Genomic DNA, 24,796 nt, shown 5'->3' on the forward strand with positions numbered 1-24,796 from the left:
CCCACAAAAAGGCAGGAAAAAGAAAATAGAGAAAACAAAATAAAAATAAAATGGTAGATTTAAGTCCTAACATATCAATAAGCACATTAAAAGCAGACAGTCTACTTATGTAATTAAAAAGACAGAGATTGGCAGACTGGATTAAAAATCATGACCCAAATTATATGCTGTCTATAAGAAACGTACTTCAAATACAATGATATAGGCAGGTTGAAGTAAAAGGATGGAAAAAAAATCATGGAAACATTAATTAAAGGAAAGCAGGTGGCTATATTAATACTAGATGAACTTGAGAGGAAAGAAAATTACTAGAAACAAAGAAGGACATGATATAATGATAAAACAGTCAATCCACCAAGAAGTTACAGCAATGTTAAATGTAAATGCATCAAACAAAAGCACTGAAAACTATGTAAAGCAGAAACATCTAAAAGAGAAATCCACAATTACATTTGGAGATGTCAACAACCTTCTCTCAACAGTATAACAACTAGACAGAAAAATCAGGAAAGAACTTAACACCATTATCAACCAACAGACTCTAATGGACATTTATAAACTAGTCCACACAAAACAGGAGAATATACATTCTTTTCAAGTGCCCATGGGTCATAAGCCAAGACAGACCATATACTGGGCCATAAAACAAACCTCAACACATTTAAAAGAAGTGAAATCATTTAACACATTTAAAAGAAATGAAATCAAAAGAAGTGAAATCATTCTCCCAACTAAAGTGGATTCAAAGTAGAAAGCAATAACAGAAAGATAGGAAAAGTCTCCAATCTTGGAAGACTGGAAACTAAGCAACACACTTCTAAATTATTCATGGGTCACAGAAAGTCTCAAAAGAAAAAAAATGGAAGGGAATGAAACTGAAAGTTCCATATATCAAAATTTGTGGGACATCAATAAAGCAGGGGTGAGGAGGAAATTTATAGCACTAAAAGCATACATAAAACGGGGGGGAAAGTCCTGTATTAACAATTAAAGCTTCCACTTTACATAACTAAAAAAAGAGCAGAAAAATAAATCTAAAGTAAGCAGGACAAAGATAATAACAAAGATAAGAACAGAAGGCGCTGTGATTGAAACAGATAAGCAACGGAGAAAAATCAATGAAACACAAAGCTGTTCTTTGATTAGATCAGTAAAACTGACAAACCTAGCAAGACTGACCAAAAACCCCAAAAAATGAACAAAAATAACTAAAAAAGACACAAATTACCAATATCAGAAACAAAACAGAATATTCCTATAGACCCTACAGACATCAACATGATGGTAAGGGAATACTATAAACAACTCTATTCACATAAATGTGGTAACTTAGATGAAATGATGGACCACTTGATTAAAAAACACTACTACCACAACTCACTGAATATGAAACAGATGATGTGAACAGCCCTGTAACTATTAGGAAAGTGACTTAAAAATTAACATCTTCCCCCCACTTTAAGTCAAAGTGAACTCCAAACTAAGTTTCACACTTCATACAAGATGAACTCAAAATGAATCATGGACTATAAAAGGATAAAAAGACACACTACAGGCAAGTAAAAATTATTTGCAAACCACATATCTGACAAAGTACTAGTATTTAGAATGTGTAAATGACTCTCAAAATCAATAGTAGAAAAACCCAAACAATCCAATTAAAACAATGGGCAAAAGACATGAAGAAGGTATTTTACCAAGGAAAACATACAGATGTCAAATAAGCACATGAAAATATATTCAATATCATTATCCATTAGAAAATAACTGCAAATAAAAACCACAAAGAGGTATCACTACACACTTATCAGAATGGATTCAACAGAAAAAAATGAAGATGCTGCTGAGGATGTGGAGAACCTGGATCACTCCTACGTTGCTGGTGGGAATGTAATACAGCACAGTCATTAGAGAAAACGTTTTTGCAGTTTCTTAAAAAATGAAATATGCAACTATCATAAGACCCAACAAATTCACTCCTGGGCACATATCCTAGAGAAATGAAGTTCTGTGTTCATACAAAAACTTGTACACAAATATTTGTAGCATCTTTATACATAACAGCCCCAAATTAGACATAATCCAAATGTTCTTCAATGAGCAAATGACTAAAAAACCTACAGTACATCCATAAGTTGGACTACTATTCAGCAATAAAAAGGAACGCACTGGTGAATCTCCAGAGAATTAAACTGACTCAGAAAAACCAAAATGGTACATTCCTTTTGGGGAAAAGTTCTCCTTAGTCTGGCAACTATTAATCTCCTCCATTTCTACAATTTTGTCATTTCAAGAATGTTACATAAATGGAATCATAGTTGCCAGACTAAGGGGTAGGCTGAAGAAGGAGGGAAGTGAGTGTGGCTAGAAAAGGGCCCATGAGGATTCCTGTGGGCTTGGAAATGTTCTGTGTCTTGGCTGTATCAGCATCACTATCCTGGGTATAGTAATAGTGTACAGTGGTTTTGCAATGTGTTACCATTGGGAGAAACTGGGTAAAAGGTATAAGAGATCTCTGAATTTATTATTTGCACGTGAATCTACAAGCATCTCAAAATAAAAAGCTAAAAAACAAGCAAGTGGCCAGATACGATGTGGCTCACACTTGTAATCCCAGCACTTTGGGAGGCTGAGGCAGAGGGATTGCTTGAGCCCAGCATGAACAACATAGGGATACCCTGTCTCTCCAAAAATAAAAATAAAAAAATTAGGCATGGTGGTGCATACCTACAAGTTCCAGCTACTTGGGAGGCTGAGGTGGAAGAATCCCTTAAGTCTGGGAGGCTGCACTGGGCTGAGATCACACCACTGCACTCCAGCCAGTGAGACTCTGTCTTAACAAAACTCCCAAAAACCAAAAACCAAAAACTCTTTATTGACAAAAACATTTGTCTCTGACTGTGGGGTACCTTGGGGCTAACCTCAGTGTGTGGAAGAACACTTAGGCTGCTAAATGTTTAGTGTAGAGAACCACCCACTAGCTATACTTACCCATGGTCACCATAAATGCTGTGCATGTGGGGGTGACTGAGTGTTCATCTGAGAGGCACGGTGTAGGTGAGGAGCTCTCATTCAATGTGAAGATGCTGGGTTTGACGGGGGGCCGACAGAAAGGATCTATGTGAAGAACATTGCCATAGTCTCTGTAACAGAGCCACGATATCCGTTCTACTATTCGATGTCCTCAGATTCAGGCAGGAATTTAATGCCAGCAAACTGTTTTTTCCAGATGAACTCCTATGCCCCCTTTTCCTTCAGAACTATATGACATTTTTCCTCAACCATAACTGCCAGAAAATTTGCAGTTCAACTTAACACTTAATGGTAACAACTAACTTTATTCGAGGTTTCTGCTGATAGTACCGTAACTAAAAAACAGATGAAACACCAAAAACCATTTCTGACTTTTATTCATTGTTTTATATGTGCTATGATAATTTAAACTGCCTCTAATCTGTTTTAAATGTAGGCAAAGTATGAATTATCTATGTAAAAAGCATGTCCTAGACATTTACTTCGTCTTTATCTTCACTACATGCTGTGTAATGAATTTGTCTGAGCTAGGTGCTCTGAATGAATCGTTAGTCTGAGCTAGTTAGTTGCCTCTCTCCCACTTTAAATCATTTCATTTAATTGCCACCCAAAAGAACTATTTCAGGGAAGTTTCAATCACTAGCAAATGGGTTCTCTGAACATATGTGGTCCCACGTTAGGCCCTGTCATATCAGTGACAGCACCTGAGAGGGACATCTCTGGACAACCTCCAGAGAATCACCAACTGTGACCTCCAGAAAGAATTTCCCCAGGCTTCAGGGGTGCTGGCATCACACTTACGGACTTCTTCTTTTCCTGGACCTCCCATTGTCTGGGCCCCAGGCCTTATACAGGTGGACAATCTCTTATCTGTAAATCTGAAATCCAAAAAACTCTCAAAGGTTTTTTTCCCCAAACTCATTTAGAAACAAAACTTAATATGACTATATATTTTTGGTGGCTGCTGATGTTCACCTACTTTTACAGTCTTCTGCATCGTGTGGTGCATGACTACATACCTTTCCAAAATTCTGAATTCTCAAACACACGAGGCACCCAGAGTGTTGCATAAGGACTGTGGACCTCACCTCTAGCTCACTCTGACATCCCATTTCCAAGGCTGCACCTACGAACCTGGTATTGCCCAGAACTGCTTTTCCTCTGAAACCTTACACTCACACCTCCTTTTTAAACCTTAGTCTCCTAACATTCCTTGCTCCCACCATCCTCGAAATTCAATCTGTTGGATTTCCCATCCCTTGACTCATCCATGTTCTCTATCTGTGAGGTTCCTTCTGGCTAAAGGTCCTTCCCCAAGTTGCTAATTCGACACTGCCAGCACAGCACCCCACCGCTCTCCTGCCAGCACTCCTGTGACGTCCTCACTCGCTGTCTTTTTGCTGTCCCTGCCCCACAGAACTCCAGCACTGTCCTACTCCACCAACTACCCAGTTTTCATTCTTCACCACTGGGCTGCAGGGTACAAGTGAGAAAGTGACACAAACCTGAGGCAGTGCCTCAGTGGCCCTCGGCTGGGCCTCCAATGTTGCTGAAGGGGCCAGCGTACAGATCCAAGTTTCCTGCCCCTGCTGACTCCCTGGGCCTACAACATTCTCAGCAACGTGGAATCTGACTATTCCAAACTTTGTCTATTTTGTGTTTCTACCCTACCACTTCCCCCAGCAGTCTCAGAGGATGACTTAGTTCAAGTAAAAACTTCCCTAAACCCACATGCTGCCTCAAGTTGACTCCTCAAGTTCAAGTGAAAACCCGTATCCTGCCTCTCCATCTCTACCAACTCACGCACATCTGCACACCTGCGGACTGTCCATCCTTTTATCATCTACCAAACTGGGTCTCGGCCCACTCCACCACCTGGGCACATGGTTTCACCAATTATCTCCTCATTTTCTTCCCCCTCCCTCTTTTTCTTCGAGGAGGCAGCACAGTGCAGGAGTTAGAATCACACAGACTGGGTCTTGCTCCCATTCTGCCCAGCGCTGCCTTACTGGAAAACCGTAGCAAGCAGTGCCAGTCACCAGGGTGCACGAGAAATTGTGGTCACGTCTGAAACCTTGGCAAGTGTGGATCAGCACCACTGTCTCAGCTCTATAGGCTTTCTGACCTTGGCCCAGAGATATTTTCAAGCACCATGTTTCCATGTATTATTCATTTTTCATAAAAAATATTGCCTTCTTGGTTGTAACTCTCTATATTTTTTAAAAACCTACCATACAATACATGCATACTTTTTTCTTGTTAAAAATTAAATAGGGAAAATACAGGTTAAAGAGTAAAAGCTCCCAAAACACTCACTAGTTAGTGGCCACTACTAACAGTCTGATGTGAAAGTTACTCTAAGCCACAGTGACTTGGTCTCAGTCAGAGGTGATGGCGCTTCACACAAACTGTTCTTTCCAAGGTCACAAATAATGTCCTCAAGTCCAGGCTCCGCGAGCACTCTTCAGCCTCTGCTTTGCCTGGCCCTGCCTGCTGGCATGTGCTAACCACACCTTCCACTGCTTTCTGTTATGCTGTCTGTCATGCTATCTGCTGGCTGCCTTCTCGTTTGGCCTTGCCCTCAGGATTCTCTGCTTGTCCCAATTCTTACCCTTGAGACCAAGTTCCTAACAGATGCTTCTGCTGGGATGCTCCACAGCCACCTTCAACTCAGCAGGCTACAGATGGCATGTGCCACTTCCTGCCCCAATAATAACCATGGCAGTAGTGATATCCTATGATGTGGGGAGTAACTGTTCTCTTCACTTTAAAAATAACAAGTGGAGGCTCAGGGGAGTCATTTTCTCCCAAGTCACACAGTTAGTAAGGGAGCGGAGTCAAGATATAATCTGCACCTGCCTAATGGCAGAACGTGGCCTCAGGACGCCACACCTCTCTGCCTCTCCCTACCCTTGATAAAGCCAAAGCCAGAAACGAGAATGGCCACAGACGCCATCATTTCTCTGGTTAACAGACACTGAGACCCAACTGTGCCAGGCTCACGGCTTTCTTGGGTTTTAGCCCTCAATCCTGCAGTGGCTGCTGTCCAGTCCATGGGGTTTAAGTGTTAGAGGGGGGAGAAACCAAAGAAGTACAGAATCTAATGATTATTCAGCAACAAGAGTCCCTGCTCAGGCCAACCATGAACAGGCGGCATTTCTGGGCATCATCTTCCACTGGAAGCAGTGACTGGAGAGATGGCATAGCATGGCTGTGTGGCTTGCAAGCCATCCAACCGCAGAAGGCAAGATCCAGGGAGATAAACACATTCACTTGAAGAGGTCATCCTGAGCAGCTTCCAAAAACCAGAAACTACATAAGCTCATTATAAGAAATAATTTTAGTATGAGATACCAGGGGGAGAAAAAAAAGAACGTGTTGCCTCTAAAAAGAGAATGTTACTATTTAATGTAAATCTGCTATTTGCAGGGGTGTGGGGGTAGGCTTTTGAAAGATTATAAAGGTTTTGCCCAGCTGGAAGCCTATAGTTTCACAACATACTACTAGTTTGCAACCCCAAGATCAATGCCCACCTTTTAAAGTTCATTTTAAAGACTGTCTGTCTATATGCATGCTATACTTCAATAAAAACATTGAAGAAGAAAAAAAATATAGATACAGGCTCCTTCCTTTTTCCCAAACAGCATCAGTGGGAAGGATAGTGAGTAGAGTAGCCGCGCCTGCAAAGCTTCTAACCACTGTCTCCTCACAGGCTCAAGAGTCACCAATAATGTGGCATCCATGCTCCCTCACTGAGTATCTCTTAGTAGGTTGACTCTAGGACCACTGTGAAAATTAAAAAGCATTTCATTTTAAAATTTAGGTTCTCAATGAGTGACCCTGAAAATAGAATTGGCCCATCACGCTGGTGTTGGAAGACTGTGTTGACACAGGAATGAGGTAGTCAATTTGACTGCCCAACTCTTTCTTTGTGATAAGAAAGGATAATACAGATTTATTTTATTCACGCCCTAAATGTGGGGAAAACGCTATGTAACTTGATCTAATTAAAAAAGAACTTTTAAGTATTCACTTAAGATTATTCTAAAAATTACCCTAAAATATGTAAGCTCAGTTAATAATGGGTTAGCCAAAAAGGATTTCTGTAGAAGAGGTTAACCAATCATATTCAAGACATCTTACTGTTTTACAAATCCGAATGCGTGTAATTCCAAGAGAACTCAATAGAGCTAGTTTTTGTATTCCTGGGACTAAAAAATTATCTAAAACTCCTTGACTCTGGGATGTCAAGTTTCTTCTGGCCTCTTAGGGCTGCCAAGATCCCTGTTTTCCGTATAAATTGAAGCCCAAAACTCCTTGGTAAACCATTCTGGAAGGGACTGATACAGGCTTGGAATAATGTATATTAGCATGGCTGCCACAAGACAGAAAGGAAGATGCAAAAAAGCTCAGGCTGTGAAGGGATGAAATTGCAATACAACTAGAGGCTATTTACTGGTTTTTACCTTTTGATTCTGGAGCTTACAAACTGGTCTACCTATTTGTGTGTGGTGCAGACTTCCAAGCTCCCAGTGGTGCCCACCTCTTGGTATTTATGCCCTTGCGCGGTTCTCTCTCCTGGAGTGTGGGCTGGACCACACTTCGAATGAGCAGAATACTACAACATTGATGGGATGCCACTTCCCAGATTAGATAGTAAGAAACAGTGACTTCCGTCCTGCTTCCTCCTTGCCCTCTTGTTTGCTCATTCTGGGGGAGCCAACTGCCAAGCTGTGACCCGCTCTGTGGAGAGGAACCATGACAGACCTCTGGCCACAGCCAGCAAGGAGGAGCTTGGGCCCTCCGTCCAACAGTCCGTGAAGAACTGAATCCCACCATCAACTGCCTGTGTGAACGTGGAAGCAGGTCCACCTTCAGTTGAACCTTAAGATGACATCAGCCTTGGCCAACACCTTGACTGCAGTCCTGTGTCCTGTGAGGGCCATGGGACCCCGCTAAGCTGTACTCATGTCCCTGACCACAGAAACTGTGAGATAAGAGTATACGTTCTTTTAAGCCCCTGGGTTTTGAGGTCATCTGTTACTCAGAAATAGGTAATTAATACAGTAAGCAGAACTCTAAAGCAGGGTTGGCTTTTTTTGCAAAGGGCCAGATAGCAAATATTTTCAGCTCTGTGGGCCATATTGTTTTGGTCACAATTACTTAACTGTGCCATAGAAGCATGAAAGCTGAGGATATACCAACAAATGAGCATGGTTCTATTCCAATAAAACTTTATTTATAAAACCAGGTGGTGATTTGGCCCGCTAACTGTAGTCTGCCAACCCCTGCTCTAAAGTAAAGAAATCCTAATTTGGAGTTAAAAGGCAGATGATCTCCATTTTACTCCTGTGCTCAAAATTATTTTAACAATAAAACAAAAGCTAAATCTATCACAATAACACAATCTCAGGCAGCTGAAAAGAAAAGCAGATGTCCACAGAATTTCTGATTTTGGTAAACAATCTAAGAAATACAAATATATCTTTTATGACAGATACCTCTAATTGCATTTTTATGGAAAAGTTGAAGTCCAACACTGGAGATAAATCTGAGCCAGAGGAACCTACTGAATTAGTTGTTTACCACAACTATAATCTTAATAGCTCCTTAAGCACGCACTGGCTTTTCCCTCACACATCACGGATCTCCGGCAGTGGGAGATGATTACCTTTGCTTTTTGGCAATGGCGATGGAGGCTGCTCTGTAAACACTTCTAGGGCTGGGGAGTCATGGTGGTCGAAGTCTTTGTCCATGGCTTCTATGAGACTGGTGATGTCCGAGTCCTCGGAACTGTGCCTCGCGCTGCTGGCACGTTCTGGGTGGGAAGGGTGTGCGAGGGGGGCGGGAGACAGCCTTTCAGGCTGCGGCTCCTGGGGCTGAGGCACTGGCGGTGGCAGAGGAGGCTGAGGGTGCTGCTCCAGCGGGCTGTGGGCATGGTGCTGGCTGCCGTGCTGGCTCTGCTTTGCCCCTTTGGACTTTCTGCCCGCTGTATGACCTTGAGTCACTGTGTTCGAATCTAAGACAAGGGGGCTTGTTTTGTTAGCAGACTGTGAAGAAGCTGCTTGAGCAGAAGTCCTACTAGAGGTACTTGAACTGTTTTTGGCTCTGACGTTTTCCACGTCAGCTGAGTTTCTATTGCTGTGACTGCTGTGTGGGTGGACCGATGGGCCACACTGCTTATGACTCCCGGCACTGGGTCGGGATGATGAACCGCCTGCTCCACAGAACCCCCTACTGTGACCGGGGTCACAGCTGAGTGTGTTCAAGCTGAAAAAGGGACCAACTGCAGATCAGTAAATAGCAACCTACAAAATCTAATATTAAAAAAAAACTTCAACTTCATCAGTACAGCCACCATAAATATAAACTACACTAGGGAAAAAATAGCAAGAAATAGGGAAATTTCTACAACTCTCTAACATCTGTTCTATCTGAACATTTATAATTTACCATCAGTGATCTAACTAAAAGTATTTTAACCCTTACCAATATAATAAAAACACAGTATCCAGCATGAGCTCTAAGTCACTCAGAGTTCCATACAGGGTGTTATTAAGTAATCAGAATTAAGATTTTTTTTCTCCTGAGCAAAGATGAAAAGAAACTTATTTTTTATTGTAATTTTATCAGCCAAATCTATGTACACTAGGGAATTTATTGCCAGCATGTGAACATACTTTCCTTCAGATGAAATACCAACGATTCTCCTGAGATCAAATGGCCTTCCCACATCGAAGGGCGGGTTCGAGGCCTCAAAGGATAGCCGCCTTCGAAATGGCTCCCATATTCCTTGAGCTTCCAAATAGGCTGTTCCAATGACCAAAAGAAACAGTGCACTGCAGGGGTAAAAAAAATTGGAAAATCAGGATTCATTTGTTAGTAGACAAGCAACAAAATTCGATGTTAAAGGCAGAGTTTCTTGGTAAAGTACAATATGATGTAATAGAAAACCAAGTTGTCTGTGACAACTTTTAACAGACAAAACCCACAGTTTTGGCTGGGCACGGTAGCTCATGCCTATAATCCCAGCACTTTGGGAGGCCGAGGCGGGTGGATCACGAGGTCAGGAGATCGACACCATCCTGGCTAACATGGTGAAACCCCGTCTCTACTAAAAATACAAAAAATTAGCCGGCCGTGGTGGCGGGCGCCTGTAGTCCCAGCTAGTCGGGAGGCTGAGGCAGGAGAATGGCATGAACCCGGGAGGCGGAGCTTGCAGTGAGCCGAGATCGTGCCACTGCACTCCAGCCTGGGCAACAGAGCGAGACTCTGTCTCAAAAAAAAAAAAAAAAAAAAAACAAAAAACCCACAGTTTTATGGATAAAAGTTTGCACATCAGTTTTTCTCTTTCTTTCTTTTTTTTCCTGAGACAAAGTTTCGCTCTTATTGCCCAGGCTGGAGTGCAATGGGGCGATCTCAGCTCACTGCAACCTCAGCCTCCCCAGTAGCTGGGATTATAGGGATGCATCACCACATCCGGCTAATTTTTTGTATTTTTAGTAGAGACGGGGTTTCACCATGTTGGCAAGGCTGGTCTTGAATTCCTGACCTCAGGTGATCTGCCCGCCTCGGCCTCCCAAAGTGCTGGGAATACAGGTGTGAGCCACCGTGCCCGGCCTGCTCATGAATTTTTATAGAATGCCATCTCACATGGAGGTTTTATATGGAGGCAATAATTATGTGTATTAGAAGAAATGCCTGGAATTTGATTTTTCTTTTACTAAGAAGAATTTTAGTTTCAACTCTCCAACCCGTTTCCTCTAAAGGATGTGTGATATAAATATGTAAATTAGTTTAGAGGTGAATTTATCTGACTCTTGAAACACAAAGTAATATATTGAGAACAGATGAAGACACTGAGAATTTAAAAAATATTTCTAATCAGTTTCAAGTGGCCTAGGTACTATTGTGTTAAGTATATTATATATATGCCCAAGTCAAGTAACTTTATCTGAGCATTTTAAAAAGATGTTAAAATGTACTTAATTTGTATAACAAATTTCAGAGGTAAAGAACACTGTTTATTATATATGCCACCCAAGAAGGGCTCTGTTTTAACTGTTCCCACCAGTCTGTGAGATTGATAAAGGCAGAGTTCTGTCTTGTTTGCTGGCATATCCTAGCACTCAGAACAGTGGCTGGCACACAGTGGGCACTCGATCAACAGTGTTAAATGTTGAATGAATATGAACCTTGAAACAAGACACAATACCTCATTATTCCTGAGATGATGATATACAGAGCCAGTTCCCAGTTAGGTCTGGGTAGGGCTTCTGCACAGGTTGCTAACATATGGTAAGGAAGGGATGCATTCAATATAAATACAAACTCAGAGCCACTGGTTGTTATAAACTTCAGTTCCCGAATAACTCTAGAAGCTGTAAAATCAGGAGTAAACCTAAAACAGAATGATGGTAGTAAGGCTAAGTTTTAAAAATATCTCACAAGCAGTCTGCATATAATACTGGTCCTATAAGCCTTTGAAATATAACACAGAATTTGCGTTTGATACTTTTACTCAACTTCCGTATTTTAAGATGAAAAAAGTATTGTCCCATGGTCAGTAATAGGAACAACTGTATTCTGTGAATAATTAGAGAAATTACACTAAAAAATAACAATAATCAAATTCTCATAATTATTAATTCAGAAAATGGTCCTGAGCTTCATGTCCTTCTCTCCTTCTTTCTTCTTTATCTAAATCCATGCTCTTTTCCCAGGCTACAATCCCAATAATGTCTTTTTTAAAAAAACAAACCAACTGGCTGGGGCCTAGTGATTTTTCCATCATCTCCTGCAGTATGGATTACTGTTGCAATTATTCTATTTTTATTTTTTGCTAATTGTATGTACCTTGAGGAAAGGTGTCTTATTCCTCATTGCATCTTTAGGTGTCAAACATTATGCCTTATATGCAATAATGTAGCTACTTATTAAGTAAATATTCATTAAAGATCACTAAATTAAATATTCAATTAAGGGACAGAAGTTGCATTTTATTGCATAAACTTTATAACAGAACAAGTTATCAATTAATTGTTAAAATATGCTGCAGCTATTACTGAGATAGGTATTAAAACTGTCTTCTGACCAAAATATTACATATCCGTATACTGCAAAACGTGAAAAAACTGTACATGTATGAAACAAATCTCTGTTGCTGAGGGACTGTGAATTTACATCAACATCTTTTGCTTTAACGTAACCCTGAAAATAATTTTGAAATTGATTTCTAAGATTATCTGATCCACTTCGGAGATAAAGTTTTATAACTTTTGAAAACTGAGATATGAAGAAATGCCTTAACCAAAGATTAAGTGAAAAAAAATTTACAACTTTGAAAACTAAGATATGAAGAAATACCTTAGCCAAAGATTAAGTGAAAAAAAAACAAATGAATGCATTTGTGGATAAAGACCTTTGGTAAATATGAAAACATATCTTTGCACAGAGTTTGAGGAAAGTTAGTGATTCATTACACCTTAAAATAAAATACTTACAATATGATTATATCTCTAGAAGCATTGGCACTTAGAGTAAACTCTTGACAATTAACAACTTTAAAGCCATATCCTTCACATGAGTATCCACTGATTTCAATGGTTTCTATGTGAATTTGAAGTTGTCCTGTATTCTCTACCTTAAATGTTCTTTTCAATGTGAAATTTGGTTCTCTTAGTTTTAAACCTAAAGGATAAAAAATCAGGAATAAGACTAAATCTTGCCATCATGTGCTCCCAGTCCAAATGATAAATACATTATTCATGAATTACTATATGTCACAGGTTATAAACCATCCCTGCATGTCAGAGAGATCAGCTGTTCCTCAGATTTCATCATGAGGTAATCTACTTTGATAAATCATTTTAGATGGCAAAAGTTGACTATACTTCACATTTCATACTGAGAGTAAATCAGCTAAGGTATGCAATGAGTGCAAACACTTTAAATCTTTTAAGATCCAAATCAAACAACTCTAAACACAACATGGAATTTCCTTAAGCTCTTAAGCATTCATAACTAATATACACAGGTGCACATACAGAAATAATGTTGTTTTTGAAATTATTTACTGTTGAAAGCAAATGCTGAAATTAGTGTCCTTGAAACTGTTAGGAAGACTTACTATCTGTACAATCTTTTAACAATGCTTCCGTGATTTTAAAGCGTAAGGAGCTTCCTGGACCTGGAAGCTTGCCTGCCACCCTCAAGTTCTCAGTTGTTCCTTGTCCTTGGACCATCACAGCATCCATCACAGTCAGGTTATTTCTATGCAAGAATGAGAATTACAGATTTTTCTCTCATTAAATCTGCACAATCTTTTGATTTGCAATTTCTACTGTTATTTTACAGAGCACCACATAGAAATTAAATTTAATGGTGAGAATTTATACTTTAAGAATTCAAAAATACACAGAGAAGAGCAAGTTTTTATTTTTAAGAGACACACATTAAGACACCATTCATGTTTTTGAACTATGCATTTGATAACAAAGGTATGTTTCATCAGGCATGGAGTGTGTGCATGTTTTGGACAAAGTGAATTCAAACTATTTCATAAGTTAGACATGCAAATTCATCTTAAAACAAGTGAGGACTTCTAAGTAAGTAGTAAAAATGAACCCACACCTATATCACAGAACCTACCTGACTATGATAAGTGAAGAAACAGTTCTGTTGTGAACTGGAGTAAACTTTACTTTGACAGATTTCTTTTCTCCAGGTTTTAAAATTAGGTTTAAAATTAAATGTCGAGAGAGGCCCTCCATAAATCCTGTTGAACTCTGCAGTGGATGAGCCTTGAATCATTGGGTAAACAGAGAGGAGTCATGAATATATTCTCTGGAAGAATGTTTCTTCGCTTACACCCCATCTAGAGCCCAGTATAGTTTCTCAAACTGATTAAATGCATAAACAATTTTATCTGTCATGTTTAGATATGGGTTAGCTGGAAAGCAGCACAGAGTAACCAACGATGAGATTCATATTCTACATTAAGTCCAAAAAGGGGCTTTCTTCCCCAGGTCACCAAATAAAGTCCTCAATGTTTGCACAAGGCATTTGTTTTTGGATACATATCTTTTTTGTTTTTAACCTAAAAATTTGAAATATTCCACACACAGAAAAGGACACAAACCTAAGATGATCAGCTAGACACATTAGCACAAAGCAAACACTTGTGGAACCAATGCCAGCACCCCAGGCCTCCTGATGCTTCCCGCCACTGCTCCCCTCTGAAGGGGACCAGGGCCAACACCTCAGGCCTCCTGCCACTGCCACGCCACTCCTCCCCTCTGAAGGGGACCAGCTGAAGGGTCTTCAGGCTGCACCGAATGTTTAAATGTAAAAAGATTTCCAATTCCTATACATTTCTCCTTGAATCTTATTTTGAAGGTTACACACGCTTACTGTTTCATAAACACCCAATGATTTAAAGTTTAAAGCATAGCTTAGTTTAATATTCAAAATATGACTTTTTGACAGCCAGTTATAGTTAAGGTTGAAAAACATTTGCTTTTTTATTACAAAAACAGTCACAGGTCACATATAAGGATATACCGTTCTGGTTTTTAAGCAACATTAAGTGTAAACTTTTTTGAGGGAAGGGTTGTCAACGCTTGGCTATAAACATCCACCAGTTCTTCATGGCTTCTGCTATCATGGAAGGAGGGTGCATTTTGTATTGTTTTCTACTCCCCCTGGCATAGATCGGTGTGTGTTTCACACATAGAGATCTAGCTACTTGCTTCAGCATGATTCCACAAACATTAACTCAGAGTCAACAGACTTTATGAAGCACATTACTTTTAATTCTTGCTTCTGAGGTAAATACGGTTGTCTCTGTACATGCCAGAGATTGGTTCCAGGATTCCTGGCATAACCAAATCTGCGATTTTTCAAGTAGCAGTTGGCCACTGTGGAATGTGCCTACAAAAAGTAGGGCTCTCCATATATGCAGTTTTGCATCCTGAAAACTGTATTTTCCATCTGCACTTGATTGAAAAAAATGTATGCGTGCGTCAGCACAGTCGAAGCCTGTGTTGTTCAAGTGTTAACTGCTATTTTTTTCCTTTCTGTCAAAGTCCACTAAGACAGAAGAATATTCCAACTGCTTCAAGATGGTTGGTGAGTAATTTCCCTTTTAAATCAACTACTCTGATTAACTGATGGACACAATGATGTACTATACATATATTCCCAGCAAGCACTAGCTAATTTAAACTCTCATGGTTTGGGGAAAACTTTAAGATGTTGTGATGCCTCCCGTATACCATTCAGGACCTTAATAATTTTATAGTGGTGGTTCTCCAAGAGTGACCCTTGGACCCCTGGGGATCTCAGGGATCCTGTCAGAGTATCCACCACGATGTCAAAACTATTTTCATAATAATACCGATAGACGTTATTTGTCTTTTTCACTATGTTGGCATCTGCACTGATGGTCAGCAAAAGCCATGGAGGGTAAAACTGCTGACCCCTTAGCATGCATCAAAGCAGTGGTATCAAACTTTCCTAGCAGCCATTGTGTTTTTCAGTGTCATTCATTTGTATTTAAAAAAAAAAAAAGTCCTCGATTATGCCATAAAAACTTCAACCCTGGAGCATGTCTTTAATATTCTGTGGGATACAATGGGAAGTATGTAAAAAGTATTTCTACAGCTACCATGTTGTTTTGAAAAGCTGTTTGAGATGGAAGCTGAACTAGCTGCTTTTCTCATGGAACACCGTTTATGTCTGAAAGAATGACAGACAGTCCATGGTTATTCAGACTTGGGCATCTGGCAGGTATTTTCACAGAAATAAGTGAGCCTACTGAAGTATTTGTTTCTAATAAAATTCAAGCTTTTGAGCAAAATTTAGGATTTTGGATAATTTGTATTCACCATTGTGAGCATGACAGCTTCCCAATACTTCAAGAGTTTCCTGATGAGCCTGGTGGTTAGATTAGCGAGGATGATTCATTTTTGGATAGTGCATAGTGAATTGTGGCAACATTTGTAAGGTCTGCATGTCTCCGTGAACCAGTATTTTCCAAAAGACTGATGTACAGTGTTATAAATAAAAAGGCAACTAAAATACTCCTTCTTTTTGTAATTACATGTCTGTAGCAGGTTAGATTTTCATTACATACTTCGATCAAAACAATATATCAAGAGAGACTGAATGTAGAGGCAGATATGAGAATCTACCTGTCTATTAAGTCAGGGAGCCAGCCATTAAAGAGAGTTGTAAAAATTAAAAAAAATCCATTCTCCTTGCTAAATGATTTTTTAAAATATAGGTAGTTTTCATTTTTGATGTTACCTATGTTGAATGGAATAGGTTTATTATTATTTTAAACAAATTAAATCACTATTTTAAAGATCTTCCATGCCCGGCCTCAGTTTCAGTTTCTAATATGGCAAAACACTGATGGATGTAAACCAGAAACCTCTCTGGGGTCCTTAATAATTTTAAGACTGCAAGGGAGTCCTGAGACCAAGTATTTTGAGAACCACATTCTATAGCACTGTAGAGATGCCTGAGATAGAATTTACTCTAAGCTCACTCTAGGACCTCCTCCTGAATTTCTTATTTAGAATACATTTCTGACGTCTAGAGTACTCTTACTTATTTTCCTATCTCTCACAGTGCTTAGTTCAGTGTTCTACATCTTGTAAATATGGCTTGTAGTTAATAAAATAAGAAAGTTAAATATTAGCTCACTTAATACTTATGTGAAATTTCTCCCTATTATAAAAGCAGAGTGGGCCGGGCACTGTGGCTCACGCCTGTAATCCCAGTACTTTAGGAGGCCAAGGTGGGTGGATCACCTGAGGTCAGGAGTTTGAAACTAGCCTGGCCAACATGGTGAAACCCCGGCTCTACTAAAAATACAAAAAAAAAAAAATTAGCCAGGTGTGGTGGCACGTGCCTGTAATCCCGCTACTCGGGAGGCTGAGGCAGGAGAATTGCACAAACCCGGGCAGCAGAGGTTGCAATGAGCTGAGATTACACCATTGCACTCCAGCCTGGGTGACAGAGCCAGACTGTCTCAGAAGAAAAAAAAAAAGAAAAAGAAAAGCAGAATGAAAGGAAGTTCTGGTTACTGAGCCTTCTAGATAACTTCCAATAACATTTGTTACTTTGGCATCTTACAGATGGGAAAAGCAAAGCACGAAAAGATTCCCAGAGCCGCGCATGAGGCTGGAATACAAGACTGTCTAAACTTTAGTCTAGTGTCCCAGCCATTATTTGACAGAAAAAAATACTACTTTGAATATTACTTTCTTATGTAAGCTCGCCTTAAAGACAGAGTTATAAAAACTATTCTAATAAGGATTGGGCTAATATATGCCTTACAGATTAAAACATGGAGCTATGGGAAAGAATACAGTATTTCAAGAACTACAAGGGATCTGGTTTGAAAAGGCTCATAGCAATTCCTGATCAGCAGTGACCACATGATACAATGGTAAGGGCAAGGCTTCTGGAATCAGAGAACCAGATTTGAATTTGGCCTTGGGCAGAAACAAGGGCATGGTGGCCAAAAGGCTTGGACCAGTTTGCAGGGAGCCTTAGCTCCAAGTGTTAAGTTCCCAACACACACCCTTACATTAGGTCTTATTTAATAACGTGTGGTTAGTGGTTGCTCAGCCTGGCCTAAATAATAGAAAATAGTTTGGTTCCTAGAACAAACCAGTTTATGTATATGTTTATAAATAAAAGATTATCCATTGAGTGAAAATCATGCATATTACCATGCTAAATACAAACACAGCCAGTCATGGGTTTAGCATTCATGGATGGCTTACAATTTAATTACAAAGTATCCAGAATGAAAATGTAAATGACTGAGCTCAATATTTTGATGCTTAATAAAAATCAATGATGTATTAATATTTACCTCATCTATATATTCTCAGAATTTCTGTAATTATTATTACAAACCTTCATGGGCTTAATGTTTAATGCCCATAAATACGAACCTTTTACTCAATGTGCCTCACCTTGATCTAAATCCCACCTACTCTTCCTGATTTATTTTGCCTCTGAAATAATTACTGGACTGCTCTGACTTCTTCAGTAACTTACCCTTCAGCCAAATTTAAGAGTAGCCAATAATTTTCTTTCATATTTATATTGATCATATTATAAAATAATTTCTTTGGAATAGTATGAAGTTTGAATACTTACACTGTTTCTGAAGACTTGAAATTCTAGTGTTCTCAAATCTATCTTTGCCACCTTACTCAAGTTAAACCTAAAACAAAAAATGTACACATATTTATTCATAAGCAACATCACAGTTAAGGGAGTTATGGAGTGATTATCAGGTGTGTGCTTTATTTTCAAATTATTGTCTGTCAGGTTTTGAGATCAATATGACCAGATTTATAGCCTTAAGAAAATTAAAGGCCACAACTTGTAATTAATATTTTGTTCACTTTTCAAAACTAGAATATTTGAAAGGTTTCATCTACTTTCTCTTTACACATTTTTAGAAGGGAGTTCCATATTACTTTTTCTTGCCTTATATTGAAAGTTTTTCTGGATGCTTTGCACAGTATCAACCTAAACCTCCCTAAAACCTTCTCTCAACCTTATAGATCCAGAACTTCTCGTCAAATCTATTAATCTGTATGAGCTGCAAATAAGGCTTTTTAAGTGAATAAAATACTAATTCAATACTACATAGAAACACTGTGATGATCCCAAGCAATACTTACCTTGATACTAACTTATCTACAAACACTGAAGGGTTGGAATATAAAGCCAGAGGAATAAACTGAACATAGACAGGAACATCTGCAGGATTTTCTAAAGTAATCTCTTCTTCCTTAAACAAAATAATGAAACATTAAATGAAAGATTTCTATAGTTAAAGCTAAGAGTAAATACTTTATAATCCTAGTATGTATTTCCAAAAACCAATGTCACTTTGAATACTTACTGAGGAGCAGTTTGTATTAGTAAGTGGAAATTTCAAGTGCCGGGGTGAGCTAAGTATGGAAGGCCAGGAGAGCTCAGCAGTGATTTTTGATATTATATTTTTTTGAAGGTCTGTATTTACTTCAAATATAGCACTCAATCTAGAAAAACAATTTGTAAGTCACTGTATCAAAATGAAATATTTGAGTCTTCTGAACATAAGAAATTCAATTAGGCTTATGTACTTGAGAAATTTTTTGCTGGCCCTGAAAAAACACATTTATTCATTCTAATATTTTACTATGCTTGTAATGCTATATGATGTCTCTATATTGGTGCAAAGAGTTGCCAAAATATCTGTCACAGATCCTCTGTTTCTGTACTGAATATAGAAAGGATGATAAATCTTAGGAATAATACCAATGGCATTAATGTAATCCCGCGTAAGTTTCGAAAAACCTTTCCAAGTATAAATTCAGTAAGAAAAGCTGGCCTATAGTAGATAACCTATTTAGAAAAGGCAGGCATATAAAGATAATACATGATGTTACGCAGATCCTAAAGGATCTTATGTGCCTAGAGGAAAGATCTAGACATCTACAAGCAGGGTGCTAAAAACATTTTCAGTAGGACTAATGAGAAGGCAGTACATTGCTTGGCATATGGCTTTTTTCCCCCTTGATATAAAGACAAAACAGAGTCCTCAGATTCAATGAAGACATCAGTTGACAACAGAGGTAAAACCTACGAGGGTTTTGTGCAGACACATGTAAAGTTTTCAGCAATATTCAAGACCTCATCTGAATATCTCCCTACTTATAAGTGTGTATAAGCCAGTTGCTTAGAACTCAGAACACATTCCCAAAGACACAATATTATAAATGGAGCTAAGATTCCTGGGACTAAACGCTGAAGCATATTTTAACCCCTAACTCTATTGTTGTAGTGTTATGATACTCTAATACTGGTAAGAGTACAAGTTTATATGACTAGTAGCAGAAATCCTCTGTAACACACACATAACAAAGTAACACAAAGGCAGGATCAGGGAGAATATCACATCTACTGTGCACTCAAGATAGACAGGGAGCCAAGGTCTTAGCAATGGGGTGCTGGGGACACAGAGAGGAGGGCAGGCTTTTTGTGGGTAGGAGGTGAAGAGGCCCCTTAGCAGCTGAGCATAGGACAACACTGTAAGTTATTTGTTCATAACTGGACATTAACATTTGGGGCTTGCTTGTCCTTTATAATGTCCACTGTGGAAATACAGGGTACAAAGGAGAGTTTTAATTAGTGTTCTCTTAGCAAGTCCATTAGAGGAAGTCTCTTTTGTATTCATTTTAACCATCTTTTTAAAGTAAACATTCGACTTTCTTTTGCCTTAAGAAAACTTTTCATAGCAGAGAGTTCAGATAAACAAACCCTCCAATTATTAATGGTTTGAGAATTTACAGTACTCTTAAATGGGAATATCCTGATACTAACAAATATATTTCAAATTAGCAGCTTGAGAAGAGCAGTTTCCATCAGCTGCCATACTATCATTATTCTAGTCAAATTCTTTTCTGAAGTACATGAAAAGATCAGATTTCTATACTACCAAATCAATACATTTTTTGTTTTTGAATCTGGGTGCAGTATTGATTTGTCATTAGATGCACATTTCCTACCTGCCAAAGAAACACTGTGGGGCCTGTCTGAATGGAGCCCTGTGTGCTCCCGAATAGCTCAGCACTTAGAAAGGAAGGGGGTGGGCTGGGCACAGTGGGTCACGCCTGTAATCTCAGCACTTTGGGAGGCTGAGGTGGGTGGATCACGAGGTCAAGAGATGGAGACCATCCTGGCCAACATGGTGAAACCCTATCTCTACCAAAAATACAAAAATTAGCCAAGCATGGTGGCATGTACCTGTGGTCCCAGCTACTTGGGAGGCTGATGCAGGAGAATCACGCCACTGCACTCCAGCTTGGTGACAGAGTGAGACTCCGTCTCAAAAAAAAAAAAAAAAAAAAAAGGAAGGAGGTATTCTTTTCACAATAAGAAAACAGACACTCTGGTCTTGTACCAAGTGCCTAGGTGGGGGTAAACCTAGAAAATGTTTCCCTTGCCTTTAACAGACATCAGTGGTAGGTAAAAAACTTTCTTTCCTATGCAAATGGATGAGTCTAAGGTGAATACTGTCGTCATCCTACATAAGAACAACTTCAAATATTTTCTTGGAGTGTAAGAAATATCTAAAGCACCACAGAAAAGAGAAAAATGACAGTATGTATATTTCCAAGCAACATACAGTTAAAATGGCAATTTAAGATGCCTCACTAATAACTTTCTGAAAATTAGGCATTCTTTCTTAGCTATAAAGCAAAATAATCTAACATAAGAATATAATTTAGAAAGCATTATGTTTCAATAGTCATCTTGTAAAGATGGCTAAAATAAATAAACATAAACCACTCACCTATGACCTGAATTTTCCTTTATTCCTGTCCATCCCTTGAACAGGCTTTGATGCAAATCCCAGTCAGCATCCCACATATCTTCCTGCATGGCTACACCAGGCTGCACTTTGGGTTCAGCTAAAACAAGGAAACATACTTAACCTGCATCTATACTCACTTGTCAATTTTCCTTCAAATAATTTCTATAGTAACAAAAGACAGCAATGTACTTTAAAAGTGGCGGCCTCTTACTAAAAGAGTATTTTGGGGGAAGTGAAGACATGAGAGAGAACAGCAAGGTCACTTACATTTGGATAGAAAAGGCAAGCCAACATAGCAATGATCCCCACACTGTAGTCCAGGATCAAAATAAATGTTTGCAATCTATAAAGAGGCACAGGAGAACCATGAATCCCAAATCCACAGGAGGTCATAAAACAAAATGTTAACCAATGGGAATTCTCAAATATAATATCTTCAAACCTTTGATTTTTTTCCTGGCTCCAAGTCTTCCTTATTGCCCCGTAATCGTTTATAGTAAAATCGCACATCTTCTGACAAAGATCGTATTTGCTGTATTTTTACCTTCTGTGAGAAGGAATTCATAATATTTAAACTTTGATGAACTATTTTCCCCTGAAGGAAGAAAGCAAAGAACAAACTCATTTGTATATGGTTAAATTTTCTTAAGATCACAAGTTTCAGAGTAGACAAGCATACTTCTAGGAAACCAAAGCCCAAAAGACATCTTAGAATGTTCATCAATTGATAATCTTTAAATTGTAATCAACAGCCAAAAAACCTCACCAAAAAACTTTTTTTTCTTGCTGTGGCATGTTACAGAAAAATCAGGAGGACAAATCTTTGCAATCTTGTGACAACTGATTGACGTTAACATTCACACTTTCATGTTAAGATACTGAGGATGCCAACAAAGGTACAAACAGAGATAGCTTTAGATAAAGGGAATGGTTACTTTCAGTTTGGTAAGCAAGGTTTGTTTACACCCAGGCAAGAATGCCCTGAAATCACTGAATTCTAAAATCTAAAGCCAAAGGGGACAAAATCACAATTTTTTTTAAAAGAAAGTCTCTTCATTAGGAAAAATATATGTCATTTGTATCAAAGAGAAATTACACATCTTTTGAAATTATGGGTTGTCAAGTATCTTATTAAAACAGTACACAAGCTGGGCACAGTGGCTCATGCCTGTAATCCCAGCACTTTGGGAGGCTAAGGTGGGTGGATCACTTGAGGCCAGGAGTTCGAGACCAGCCAGGCCAACATGGTGAAACCCTGTTCCTGCTAAAAATACACACGAAAAATTAGCAGGCATGGTGGCACACACCTGTAGTCCCAGCTACTGGGGAGGCTGAGGCAGGAGAATCACTTGAACTCGGGAAGCGGAGGCTGCAGTGAGCCGAGATCGTACCACGGCACTCCAGCCTGGGTGACAGAGTGAGACTCCATCTCAAACAAACAAACAAACAAAAACCCCAGCACACAAATAAAACTGTTAAATAACCAGCAATTGCTCTTACCAGTCACAAGCTTCTGTCTGTGACAGGGTACCAAATTTTAAATTAAAAAATTAAATAATTTACGTAATCCTCCAGAAGAATATTACAATCTTTCTTTTGGCTGAATACAAAATTTTACTTTTTGTAGATTCCTACTCATTTGAAGAGGTCTCTGAAATGATTAAACCCACTTTTTAAATATTTGGAATAAAAAATACAGAAGTGAAGAGCGTGCACAGGAAAAAGGGCGCAATGACTGTGACACTGAGGCCAGCGCTCCTCATTTACAGCCCAGTGAGGCTAAAACACCCGACAGCCAGCAGAGGGCGGGCATGCAGCTGCAATGCCGACAGGAGCCCTCGGGCAGTCACCGCACTTGGCGTACTTGAAATAACTACTTCCCTCGTGCCTTGTCTCTTGGGGGTGTGGGGGATCAAAAGAGCTCACAGATATAAATGCTGCTCTCACAATTCTATTCAAATATTAAGCTATGAGTTACATGAAATGTTTATTCTGAGGTATTGTTTCCAGTAAGCTCTAGTATTCTCCATCTGATAAAGAGATTGACAGGATTTGGTAATATAGAGGTAATTTAGAATTCCAAGCAAGTATCTGGTCCTGTAAGCCTCCTAGAGATATCTGAAAGCTTAATCTGAAGCAGTTCAAAACCAACCCCTCTAAATCTCATGCTGAAATGTGATCCCCAGTGTTGGAGGTGGGGCCCTATGGAAGGTGTCTGGGCCACAGGGGTGGATCCCTCATGAATGGCTTGGTGCGTTCTGACCTCGTAGTAATGAGTTCTCATGCCATTAGTTCACACAACCACTGGTTGTTAAAAAAGAGCCTGGCACCTCCCTCTCTTCTCTCTTGCCATGTGATCTTTGCACATGCCAGCTCCTCTTTGCCTTCCAATATGAGTGGAAGCAGCCTAAGGCCCTCACCAATGCAGACACTGGGGCCATGCTTCCTGCACAGTCTCCAGAACTGTGAACCAAATACACCTCTTTTTTAAAAATAAATCACCCAGCCTCAGGGATTCCTTTATAGCAACACAAATGGATCCAGACCAACATCTTGTTTTTATACACATGCTTTCTCATTTATTCCACTCATGGGGCTTTTCACTGTGTCATCTGCTGTCTTCTGAACTGAACTTTTCCCTGCCAGAGTTTACGCAGAGATTAAGGACATCATTGATTGAGAAGGTAATGGAAGGAAGAAACATGGCTCTTTTGGATAAATAACGAAGAGTTTAGTATAGTCAGTACAAAGTGGAATGACAGGAAGATGAGGATTTAATTAAGACCCAAACTTAAATGTGATGAAACTAGTAATTCAAAGTTTGTATTTTTAAGGAGTTAAATATTGAATTCAGGTTTTACTGTAAGGGTTGAGTATCCCTTATTTAAAATGCTTGGGGCCAGAAGTGTTTTAGATTTTTTTTTTGGAATATTTACATATATATAATGAGATATCTTGGGGACAGAACCCAAGTCTAAACATGAAATTCATTTATGTTTCATATACATTTATATGCATAGCCTGAAGGTAATTTTATACAACATTTAAAATAATTTTGTGCATGAAGCAAAGTTTTGACTGGAACCTGTTACAAGAGGTCAGGTGTAGAATTTTCCACTTGTGGTCTCAAAATGTTTCAGATTTGGGAACATTTTGGATTTCAGATTTTTGGGTTAGGGATGCTCAACTTGCATACAGCATTAAGATTTTGCAATGTCTTGTTTCTCTTAACCCACTACTGTCTCCTACCACTAGGATGTGAGACACTTTTACATCTGCCCTGGTATTCCTGAATGGACTGCACCATCTTCTTGCAAAAGGCAGCATCTTCTCCTGGTTTTCTCATTTGTTTTGTCTTTGTTCTCCAGG

General features: G+C 39.1%; 1 protein-coding gene across 8 annotated transcripts in view; it reads right to left on the minus strand.

The window, feature by feature from the left end:
- TMEM131 (transmembrane protein 131) overlaps window positions 1-24,796 on the minus strand; it is a 239,613-nt gene that overhangs the window by 27,346 nt on the left and 187,471 nt on the right. For 6 of the 8 annotated variants that reach the window (XM_047443843.1, NM_015348.2, XM_005263910.2 and 3 more), the window contains 12 exons: window positions 21,870-22,022; window positions 21,695-21,770; window positions 21,407-21,524; window positions 18,971-19,109; window positions 18,747-18,856; window positions 18,214-18,280; window positions 13,684-13,835; window positions 13,163-13,305; window positions 12,537-12,723; window positions 11,249-11,434; window positions 9,714-9,872; window positions 8,705-9,303 (listed from right to left, as the gene is read on the minus strand). In XM_047443843.1, the coding sequence (XP_047299799.1) occupies window positions 8,705-9,303; window positions 9,714-9,872; window positions 11,249-11,434; window positions 12,537-12,723; window positions 13,163-13,305; window positions 13,684-13,835; window positions 18,214-18,280; window positions 18,747-18,856; window positions 18,971-19,109; window positions 21,407-21,524; window positions 21,695-21,770; window positions 21,870-22,022 (2,089 nt within the window). The remainder of the gene's footprint in view (window positions 1-8,704; window positions 9,304-9,713; window positions 9,873-11,248; window positions 11,435-12,536; window positions 12,724-13,162; window positions 13,306-13,683; window positions 13,836-18,213; window positions 18,281-18,746; window positions 18,857-18,970; window positions 19,110-21,406; window positions 21,525-21,694; window positions 21,771-21,869; window positions 22,023-24,796) is intronic. The other 2 variants (XM_047443844.1, XM_011510869.2) reach the window with 1 other exon arrangement.

This window comes from Homo sapiens, chromosome 2 (genome assembly GCF_000001405.40).
Source record: "Homo sapiens chromosome 2, GRCh38.p14 Primary Assembly".
Lineage (NCBI taxonomy): Eukaryota > Metazoa > Chordata > Mammalia > Primates > Hominidae > Homo > Homo sapiens.